The sequence below is a fragment of the Homo sapiens genome, chromosome 3 (genome assembly GCF_000001405.40).
Source record: "Homo sapiens chromosome 3, GRCh38.p14 Primary Assembly".
Lineage (NCBI taxonomy): Eukaryota > Metazoa > Chordata > Mammalia > Primates > Hominidae > Homo > Homo sapiens.
Window position 1 is genome coordinate 34,666,452 of NC_000003.12, and position 11,690 is coordinate 34,678,141.

The 11,690-nt window shown below is 37.6% G+C and overlaps 1 long non-coding RNA gene across 1 annotated transcript; it reads left to right on the forward strand.

The window, feature by feature from the left end:
* Positions 1 to 1,685: 1,685 nt before the first annotated feature.
* Positions 1,686 to 11,013, forward strand: LOC124909365 (uncharacterized). The gene is made up of 3 exons (XR_007095867.1): positions 1,686 to 1,804; positions 2,760 to 2,882; positions 9,975 to 11,013. It is a non-coding gene; the product is annotated as an uncharacterized LOC124909365 (long non-coding RNA).
* Positions 11,014 to 11,690: the final 677 nt, after the last annotated feature.

Below are 11,690 nucleotides of genomic sequence, written 5' to 3' on the forward strand. Positions count from 1 at the left end.
CTGCTGTGCTGCCTGGTACCTAACAGGCCATGGACAGGTACCAGTCCATGCTCCCAGGGTTGGGGATGCCTCATTTATACGATGTGTCTTTTTCATTATTGTATTTTAAACTCTTCTCTTAGATCTCTTACAGATGTTTCTCCAGGAAGTAGCATATACCTTGACTTAGAAACAATAAACCAATGGGCCAGAGTAGTACTATCATTTTTTATAATATGAAAACCCCTAATTTTTATTTATTTGGTGATTTTAATCCATTTGTATGAATTATAACCACAGATATATTTGGACTTACACCATCAGTAACAGATATTTTTTTGTTTAATTCTCCAGCTTCTTTTAAGTTGATTTTTGTAAAATTTTTCTCTAATGATGTGGAGTGTGTGTGTGTGTGTGTGTCTTTAGTTGTTAACCTTAAATTTAAAAAAGCATCAAATGTGTAAGTAAGTATACTTTCTCCTAACAAGAATAAAGCATTAGTTCTATCCTAGAACATGAAAGGAAAGGTGGGGTTGATGTATAACCCTATCCTCATGTTTTTAAGCTATAGCATTTTAATTTACATTTCTTTTATGCTTAAGGTCCAAGTGTTCTTCAGTTGGCACATGATGAATCCTGCCATGACTGGTTCCTTCCTTTCAAGGCAGCAGCTTCCCTTCTGGCCTAGGGTGTGTCTAGAAATGTCATCCAGGAGCTAGGGACTGGGATGGGGGATCTCATGACTCTCAGGAAGAGCCAAGAGGTTATGACTTTCCTTATGCTTAAGATAAATGTAAATTAAAATGCTACAGCACGATTAGTTTCTTGATGGTCAACAATGTAGAGCACCTTTTCATTTGTCTATTGGCCATTTATGTATCTGCTTTGGAGAAATGTTTATTCAAATCTTTTGACATTTTTAAATTGTCTTTTTATTATTGAGTTGTAATATTCTTATATATTCTAGATACAAGTCTCATCACATATATAATTTACAACTATTTTCACCATTCTATGATTTATCTTTTTACTTTTTGATGTATCATTTGAAACACAAATATTTTTAATTTTGATGAAGTCCAGTTTACCTATTTTTTAAAATTGTTGCTTGGCTTTATTCTGTTATATAAAAGCGTATGCCTAACTGTCATGAAGGTTTTCTCCTGAGAGCTTTAGAGTTTTGGATTTACATTTAGATCAATGATCATGAGTTAATTTTTTTTGTATGATGTGGAGTGGGAGTTCAGTGTTTTGAATGTGAATAAAGTTTCCCAGCACTATTTGTTGAAAAGATTATTCTTTCCCCACTGAATTATCATGGCGATCTTTCTGAAAATCAATTTAATGTAAAACTAAAGTTTGTCTCTGGGCTCTCACTACTATACCATTCATCTATATGTCTATCCTTATGCCAGCACTATGCTTTCTTAATTGCTACAGGTTTGTAATATGTTTTAATATCAGAAAGTATGAGTCTTCCAACTTTGTTCTTTTTTCAACATTATTTTGGCTATTTTGGATCTCTTAAATTTCAAAATGAATTTAGAATCAGCTTGCCTATTCCTGCAAAGAAGCCTGCTGGGATTTGCATTGAATGTGTATGTTAATTTGGGGGTATATTACCACCTGAACAATATTAAGTCATCTGATACATGACCATGGAATATCTTTCCATTTATTTAGTCCACTTTAAATTATTTCAACAGATGGGGGAGGCTGAGCAAGATGGCCAAATAGAAGCCTCTATTGATCATCCCCCCTGCAGGAACACCAAATTTAACAACTATCTGCATAAAAAAGCACTTTCATAAGAACCAAAACTCAGGTGAGCAATCACAGTACCTGGTATTGACTTATTCATATCACTGAAAGAAGCACTGAAGAGGATAGAAAAAACAATTTTGAATCACTAATGCCACCCCTCTTCCATCCGCACTACTATGACTGTGTGGCATGGAGAATCTGTGTATTTGAGGAAGGGAAGTCTCAGTGCCTGTGAGACAGTGCATTGAACTCCTTGCTGCCCTGTCACAGCGGAAAGCAAACCCAGCCTGAACTCAGTGGATGCCCACTCATGGAGAGAGCATTTAGACCAGCCCCAGCCAGAGTAGAACTGCCAATCCCAGCAGTCAGCAATTGAGCTCCAGCAAGCCTCACCACCATGGGCTAAAGTGCTCTGGGTTTCTAAACAAACTTGGAAGGCAGTGTAGGTTACACGGACTACAGTTCTAAGGTAAGTCCTAGCACTGTCCTGGGCATGAAGACAGTGGATGTTGGGGTCACATATCCTAATGAGACACCAGTTGGGGCAGCTAAGAGAGTGCTTGCACCACCCCTCCTCCAACACCAGGCAGCAGAGTTCGCAGCAACAAAACCGACTTCTTCCTTCTTGAGGAGAGAAGTGGGAAGAGTAAAGAGCACTTTGTTTTGCATGTTGAATACCAGCTCAGTCACAGTCTAATAGAGCACTGGGAAGAGCCTTGAAGTTCCCCATCCCAGCCCCTAGCTCCTGAATGACATTTCTAGACACACTCTGGGCCTAAAGGGAAGGAAGCAGTCATGGCAGGATTCATCATTTGCCGACTAAAGAAAGAGCACTTGAACCCTGAATAACGAGCACTGATACCCAGGTAATACATACCCTAGGCTATGGGTGAGACAGACATGCTGGCTTCAGGTCTGACTCAGCACATTCCCAGCTGTGTTGTCTATAGGGAAAGACTCCTTCTAATTGAGAAAGGCAGAGTATAAAGTAAAGGAGACTTTGTCTTGTACCTTAGGTACCAGCTCAGCCACAGCGGGGTAGAGCACCAAGCTCTTGGTGTGCCCAGTTCCAGGCCTTGATTCTTGGATGGCCTTTCTGGACCTGCCCTGGGCCACAGGGGAGCACACTTTCCTGAAGGGTAAGTGTCAGGCCTAGCAGTATATACCACAAGCTGACTGAAAAGATTTGGGGTCTTAAGTGAACATCAGTGGTAGCCTGATAGTACTCACTGTGGGCCTGTGGTAGTGGTAGCCACAGGGAGAGACTCCTTGGTTTGTGGGAAGGGCAGGAAAGAGTGGCCTTAGCCATGGTAGTACGGAGCACCAGGTAGATTTCTAAGGTTTTTGACTCCAGTTTCTGGCTCCCAGATAGCATCTCTGGATGCAGGAGGGCCTGGGAGAACTCACTGCCCTGAAGGGAAGAACATAAAGTCTGGCTGGCTTTGCCACCTGCTGACTGCAGAGCCCTAGGCACTTAGCAAACATAAGTGGCTGGTACGTAGTGGTTACAGCAGGCCTTGAGCAATAACTAAGTACTGTGCTGGCTTCAGGTCTGACTCAGTGCAGTCCTAGTGACGGTGGCCACAGTGGGGGCTTGTGTCACCTGAATCAGGACAGAGAGACAGACATCATCTATGTGGAAAAGTAAGAGTCTCTGCCTGGTAATGCAGATAATTCTTCTAGATCTTATCTAAAACCACCAATGCAGTATCTCTACAAGTCTGCAAGAACCACAGTGTTACTGGGCTGGGTGTGCCCTCTAATGCAGTTTGGCTTAGCTTACAACACCTAAGTCACTTCAAGTGCATAGAAAGCCTTTTGAAGAAAGATGGCTACAAACAAGCCCAGACTGTGAAGACTATGATAAATACCCAACTGTTCAATGCCTGGACACTGACAAACATCAATAACCATCAACATCATCCAGAAAATGAACACCTCACCAAATAAACTAAATAAGGCACCAGGAAAAAATCCTGGAGAAACAAAGATATGTAACCTTTCAGACAGAGAATTCAAAATAGCTGTTTTGAAGAAACTTGAAGAAAGAAATTCAAGATAACACAGAGAAGAAATTCAGAATTCTATAAGATAAATTTAACAAAGGGATTGAAAATTTAAAAAAGCAGCACAAATTCTGCAATAGAAAAATGTATTTGACATACTGAGTAAAGCATCAGAGTCTCTCAATAGCAGAATGGATAAAGCAGAATTAGAATGGATAAAGCAGAATTAGCTCGAATAGAGGCTATTTGAAAATACACAGAGGAGACAAAAAGAAAAAATAATAAAAAACAATGAAGCATGACTACAGGATCTAGAAAATAGCCTCAAAAGAGCAAATCTAAGAGTTATTGGCCTTAAAGAGGAGGTAGAAGAAGAGATAAAAGTAGAGAGTTCACTTGAAGGGATAAAAATAGATAACTTTCCAAACCTAGAGAAAGTACAAGAAGGTTATAGAACACCAAGCAGATTTAACACAAAGAAGACTACCCTGAGGCATTTAATAATCAAACTTGCAGCTGGGCGCAGTGGCTCGCGCCTGTAATCCCAGCACTTTGGGAGGCCGAGGTGGGTGGATCACAAGGTCAGGAGTCCAAGACCAGCCTGGTGAAGATGATGAAACCCCATCTCTATCAAAAATAAAAAAATTAGCCGGGCATGGTGCCTCTAATCCCAGCTACTCGGGAGGCTGAGGCTGAGGCAGAGAATTGTTTGAACCCAGCAGGCGGAGGTTGTAGTGAGCCGACATCGTGCCACTGCACTCCAGCCTGGGTGACAGAGTGAGACTCCACCTCAAAAAAAAAAAAAAATCAAACTTTCAAAGGTCAAGGATAGGTAAAGAATCCTAGAAGTAGTGAGAGAAAATAAATAACAAGCAATGGGGCTCCAATACATCTGGCAGTAGACTTTTCAGTGGAAACCTTATAGGCAAGGGGAGAGTGGCATAACATACTTAAAGTCCATAACATACTTAAAGTCCTAAAGAAAAAAAACTTCTACCCTTGAATAGTTTATCAGGTGAAAATATTCTTCAAACATGAAGAAGTAAAGACTTTCACAGACAAAAGCTGAGGGATTTCATCAACATCAGAACTGTCTGACAATAAATGCTAAAGGGAGTACTTCAGTATGCAAGAAAAAGTTTGTAATGAGCAACAAAAAAATCATTTGAATGTACAAAACAGAAAATCACAGACTATTATAACATTGTAACTGTGGTGTGTGAACCACGCTTAAGTAGAAATATGAAAAGATAAAATAATAACTACAACAACTTTTCAAGACATAGACAGTAAAATAAGATAGAGACAACAAAAGTTATAAAGCAGGGAGATGAAGTTAAAGAGTAGCATTTCTATTAGTTTTCTTTTTGTTTCTTTTTTTTAGATTTTTTAGTTTCTTTTTGCTTTTAGTTTTTATTATTTGCTTGTTTGCTCATGCAATCAGTGTTAAGGAGTCATCAGTTTAAAATAATAAGATATGAGATACTATTTGCAAAGCTTCATGGTAACCACAAATCTAAAAACATACAATGGATACGCACAAAAAAAAGAGCAAGAAAGTGAAGTACATCACCAGATAAAATTACCTTCATTATATGGAAGACAGGAAGAAAGGAAAGAAGATCACAAAACAACCAAAAAACAAATAACAAAATGACAGGAATCAGTCCTTAACTCATCAATAATAACATTTAATATAAATAGACTAAACTCTCCAATCAAAAGACATAGAGTGGGTGAATGGATGAGAAAACAGGACCCAATGATCTGTTGCCTAGAAGAAACACACTTCACCTATAAAAATACACATAACCTGAAAATAAAGAGATGGAAAATGATATTCCATGTTAATGGAAACCAAAAGAGAGCAGGAGTTGCTCTACTTATATCAGACAAAAGAGATTTCAAGACCACAACTATAAGAAGCACCCAGTGGCTCATGGCTATAATCCCAGCACTTTGGGAGGCCAAGGCAGGTAGATCACCTGAGGTCAGGAGTTCAAGACTAGCCTGGCCAACATGGTGAAACCCTGTCTCTAATAAAAATACAAAAATTAGCCAGGCATGGTGGTGGGTGCCTGTAATCCTAGCTTCTCAGAAGGCTGAGGCAGGACAATTGCTAGAACCTGGGAGAAAGGGGTTGCAGTGAGCCAAGATTGCACCATTGCACTCCAGCCTGGGCAACAAGAGCAAAACTCCATCTCAAAAAAATAAAATAAAAAGAAGAGACAAAGAAGGTCATTATAGAATGATAAAGGGGTCAATTCATCAAGAGAATATAACAATTGTAAGTCTATATGCATTCAATTCTGGATCACTCAGATATATAGAGCAAGTATTACTAGAGCTAAAGAGAGAGACCGTAATTCAAAAAAGCTGGAGACTTCAACATAGTGCTTTCAGCATTGGACAGATCTTCCAGAAAGAAAATTAATACAGAAACAGCAGACTTAATCTGAAGTGTAGAACAAATGGACCTAATAGATATTTACAAAACATTTCATCCAATGGCTGCAGAATACACAATCTTTTCCTCAGCACATGAATAATTCTCAAGGATAGACAAAACAAGTTTCAAAACATTCAAAGTAATTGAAATAATATCAAGTATCTTCTCTGATAACAATGGAATAAAACTAGAAATCAATAGCAAGAGGAATTTTGGAAACTAAAGAAACCCATGGAAATTAAACAATATGTTCCTAAATGACCAGTGGGTGAATGAAGAAAATAAGAAGGAAAATGAAAAATATCTTGAAACAAATGAGAATGGAAACACATCAGGGATACAGAGAAAGCAGTACTGAGAGGGAAGGTTATAGCAATAAGTACCTACATAAAAAAAAAAAAAACTTCAAATAAATACCACGATGATGCATCTTAAAGAACTAGAAAAGCAGGAGCAAACCAAATCCACAATTAGTAGAAAGTAAAAATGATTGAAATGAAGAAAACAAAAATAGATCAATGAAATGAAAACTTGGTTTTATGAAAAGATACCAAAAAATATAAACCTTTAGCCTGACTAACCAAGAAAAATAGAAGACCCACATAAATAGAATTAGAGATAAAAAGCAGACATTGCAACCAATACTGCAGAAAATCAAAGGATCATTACCGGCTACTATAAGCAACTATATGCCAATAAATTGGAAAAATTCTAGACACATACAACCTACCAAGATTGAATTATGAAGAAATCTAAACAGACTAATAACAAGTAATGAGATTGAAATAATAATGGAAAGTCTCTCAGGAAAGAAAAGCCTGGGATCTTGTGGCTTTACTGCTGAATTTTACCAACCATTTAAAGGCAGATTAATACCAATCCTACTAAAAATATTCTGAAAGGGAGAGAAGAATGGAATACATCCAAACTCATTGTATAAGGCCAGTATTACCCTGAAAACAAAACCAGAGAAGGACATATCAAGAAACAGAAAACTACAGACCAATATCCTTGATAAATATTGGTTCAAAAATCCTCAATAAAATACTAGCAAACTGAATTCAACAATACATTAAAAATATTATTTCTCATGACCAAGCGGGATTCATCTCAGGGATGCAAACATTGTTCAACATATGCAAATCAGTCAATGTGATACATTACACACATAGAATGAAGGATAAAAAAATGATCATTTCAGTTAATGCTGAAAAAGCACTTGATAAAATTTAATATCCCTTCATAATATAAACCCTCCAGAAACAGGGGATAGGAGTAACATAGCTCAAGATAATAAAATTCATGTATGACAGACCCCACAACTAGTATTAAACTGAATGGGGAAAACCTGAAAGTCTTTTCTCTAAGATCTGGAACATGATAAGGATACCCACTCTCACCCCTGTTATTGAACATAGTACTGGAAGTCCTAGCTAGAGCAATCAGACAAGAGAAGGATATAAAAGGCATCCAAATTGGAAACGAAAAAGTCAAATTATCCTTATTTGCAGATGATATAATATTTTATTTATATAAACCTAAGACTCCACAGAAAAACTATTAAAAACTGGGCCGGGCGTGGTGGCTCACGCCTGTAATCCCAGCACTTTGGGAGGCCGAGGCCAGCGGATCACGAGGTCAGGTGATCGAGACCATCCTGGCTAACAGGGTGAAACACCGTCTCTAGTAAAAATACAAAAAAATTAGTTGGGTGTGGTGGCAGATGCCTGTAGTCCCAGCTACTCAGGAGGCTGAGGCAGGAGAATGGCATGAACCCGGGAGGCAGAGCTTGCAGTGAGCTGAGATTGCACCACTGCACTCCAGCCTGGGTGACAGAGGAAGACTCCATCTCAAAAAAACAAACAAACAAAAACAACAACAACAAAATAACCTACAATATGGTATCATCGTATCCCAGTTAAAATGGTTTATAGCCAAAAGACAGGCAATAACAAATGCTGGCAAGGATGTGGAGAAAAGGGAACCCTTATACACTGTTGGTGGGAATGTAAATTAATACAATCACTATGGAGAACAGTTTGGAGGTTCCTCAACAAACTTAAAGTAGGGCTACTCTGTGATCCAGCAATCCCACTGGCTGAGTATAGACCTGAAGAAAGGAAATCGGTAGGGACTCCTATGTTTGTTGTAGCACTGTTTACAATAGCTAAGATTTGGAAGCAAAAGTGTCCATCAACAGATGAATGGTTAAAGAAAATGTGGTACATATACACAGTGGAGTACTATTCAGCTATAAAAAAGAAAGAATGAGATCCTGTCATTTGCAACAACGTAGATGGAACTGGAGATCATTATGTTAAGTGAAATAAGCCAGGAACAGAAGGACAGACATTATATGTTCCCACTTATTTGTGGGATCTAAAAATCAGAACAGTGAAACTCATGGGCATAGAGAGTAAAAGGATGGTTACCAGAGTTTGGGAAGGGTAGTGGAGGGCAGAGAGGTGGATGGTTAATAGCTACCAAAAAAATAAGAAGAATGAATAAGACCCACTATTTCATGGCACAATAAGGTAACAATAGTGAATAGTAACTTAATTGTACATTTTAAAATAACTTTAAAAGTGTAATTGGGCTGTTTATAACTAAAGGATAAAGGCTTGAGGGGATGGATACCTCATTCCCCGTGATGTGCTTATTTCACATTACATGTCTGTATTAAAACATCTCATGTACCCCATAAATATATACACCTACTATATACCCACAAAAATTTTAAAAAGAAAAATAGAAATGTGCATTTATACTGTCTTTAAAACTTACATTATTTTCCCCAAATCCCTACCCTTACTAGATGTTTTTTTGTGACTCTTTGGTCAATAACTGATTACATAGCCACCTTTGTCTATAAGGGAATCTAGACAAGCTGAGGGCAGGTTTAACAATATTGGCTTAGACAAGTCATGATTTGTCATCACTGGGTGCTGGGCACTTTGGTGCCATCCATACTCTCATTCTCTCAAGTTGTAATTCTATTAACTAGGAAGATAAAGGGGATTGTATGTTAGGTAAGGAGAAAATAGTGCCAGATATATTGTTCCTTAGCCCTCTCCTCCCACCCCCAGCACATAAACAAAACATACTGTGTACTATATAGTCTTAATTTCACCTAGAGAAAATCCATTTTCTAATTGTTTACTGTTCTACTCAGTAAGTGAAACTTACTTCTCCGTAACAAAAAAGTTCTTGCTCAATTCTTAACCATAGTCAATTACTTCATTTACATGAATTCATAGCATACCACTGGTTTTCTCCTTCAAACCACAACTACTGTTTGGAACTGGTATTGAAGTTATTGAGTAAAATTATAAAGAGCATGTAGAAGACTTATGAACCGAGTCTAACTTTACTTAGAGAAGAGGAAAGAGATTGCTGGTCCTGGTTGGGATGTTTTACATTAAAGGCAGGCAGAAGTGCAGAAGGACTGGGGCTCTTTGGAACACAGCTACCTTTTCTTTTTTGTGAAAGAACCAAATGTGTTACATTTCCATTAAAATGGAAAAGTGGGAACACAAGGAATGAGACTTCATTAGGCTATTAGTTTTATACCTAAAATGTTCATACAGTACACTGTGTCTCTACATACTGCCATACCGACCCATTTATTTTAATACCATCAATGTTTGAACACCAGGAGTTTGATCCTGTGGGATATTTGATTGCACACTTGCAAATACCAGCAAGCAAGGTTTATAATTAATCAATTTCAATAATGACCCCCAATTGTTTACTTCTTGTATCCATGTCCTGTGCAGTGTGATTTGCTGCTCTTACCATTAAGAGGTGAAATCTCTTTCCTCGCTATTTGAATATGACTGTGCCTGGTGAGTGACACTGAACGAAAGAATGCAGCAGAAGTGATGGTGTGCCAATTCCAAGTCCAGGCTTTACTCTCTTGAGATTCTTGCAAACAACGATGTGTGCAAATCCAGGATGGCCTGCTGGAGGGAGACAAGTGAACCATCACCATCTTCACCCTGACCAACAGCCAGCCAATCATTAGACAGGAGTGAGGACATCCTAGGCCAGCCACTGACCTGATGACTGCAGATCCATGAGTGAGCTCTGCTCAGATCAGCTAAATATGGCTGGCACCAAAAGAATGACTCAGCTGACCCACAGATTCATGAGTTAAATATGTCCCTTTTGTTTTAAATCACTAAGTGACTTAATGAGTGATAAATGGCATAGGGTTTAAACTATCTTGTTATGAAGAAGAATAGTTGAACCACTTGCTCTGAGTAGAAGTCAATGTAAGTCACATTTTCAATAAAAAATACAGGTTTGTTGTTATATAACTTAAGGTAAATGTGCTGGCCTAAATTATCTTTCCACTCTACTCAAGAGAAATTACAGTCTGTATTTCAAGGTCATTCTGATCAAATTCTCAAAGCCAATAATGTCTCAAAAGTACTTGCAAATATTAATATATTTTTATTTGATTTTATTAGTCATATCAAAAATCACTAAATACTTATGAATATTATAAAATTCTTGAGCTATTTTCCTTTTAAATTAAAACTTTTTAGTTTTAAATATATTACATGTTCATTAAGAAAGAAAAATGCAAAAAAAAAGTGCAAAGAAGAAATTTTTGAAAAAAAGCCTATAATCCCATTGAGCCACAAAGAATTGTTTGACATTTTAAGCTGACTTAGAGTTTCCCTAAATGGTTTCCAAATACAGACAGGGTCCAACTGGCCTCCTGCAGATAGAAATATACTCTATATGCAAATGAGAAAACTTCTGAATTTAGTCTAAAATATAGTATAGATATCTATCATGCATACACACACACACACACACACAAATTCACACAATTACCTCCTCACAGAGGTTCCTCATAGACCTTTTTTTTTCTTTTGGGGGAGGAGGGGTGTTTGTTTGCAGCAGTAAATCAGAATAGAAAGCAGCAGCAGTAAAACGTTTTATCACCTTCTGCCTGTGATTTGAGTGCCAAAGATAATTTTCTAAGTTTTTAATCAAAATTTTGAGGGTTTTGTCACAAGCTGACCCACAAGTTCTAGAATAAAATAATGTCAATAACTATGTTATTTATTTTTTGAGTGCATAGTATACACTAGATCTTCTGTTGCAGTCTCTACATTTATAATTCTGTTTTTCTCTAACTAACACTCTGAGATAGGTAATGTTATTTTTATTATTTCTTTATCTTATAAAGGAAATGAAGCTTAAGAAGGCTGAGACACCTTTGAACATTTTATTTTTAGTAAATATTGGGGCAGGGACTTCACCCAATGCAACTCATTACCAGCCTCATTCTGTTTGCCATTCAGCTACAGGGCTTCTGGGGGTCCCAAGATTCCAGAGGGGTGTCATTGTTGAATTTTGTGTGGTTCTATTTAACAAAGAATGTAGGATTGATGCAGAATATATCTTATCAATCTTATTATGAAAATTCTTCTATTCAGGGTGCCTAATACATTAACTAAACATGTGTGATCATAACT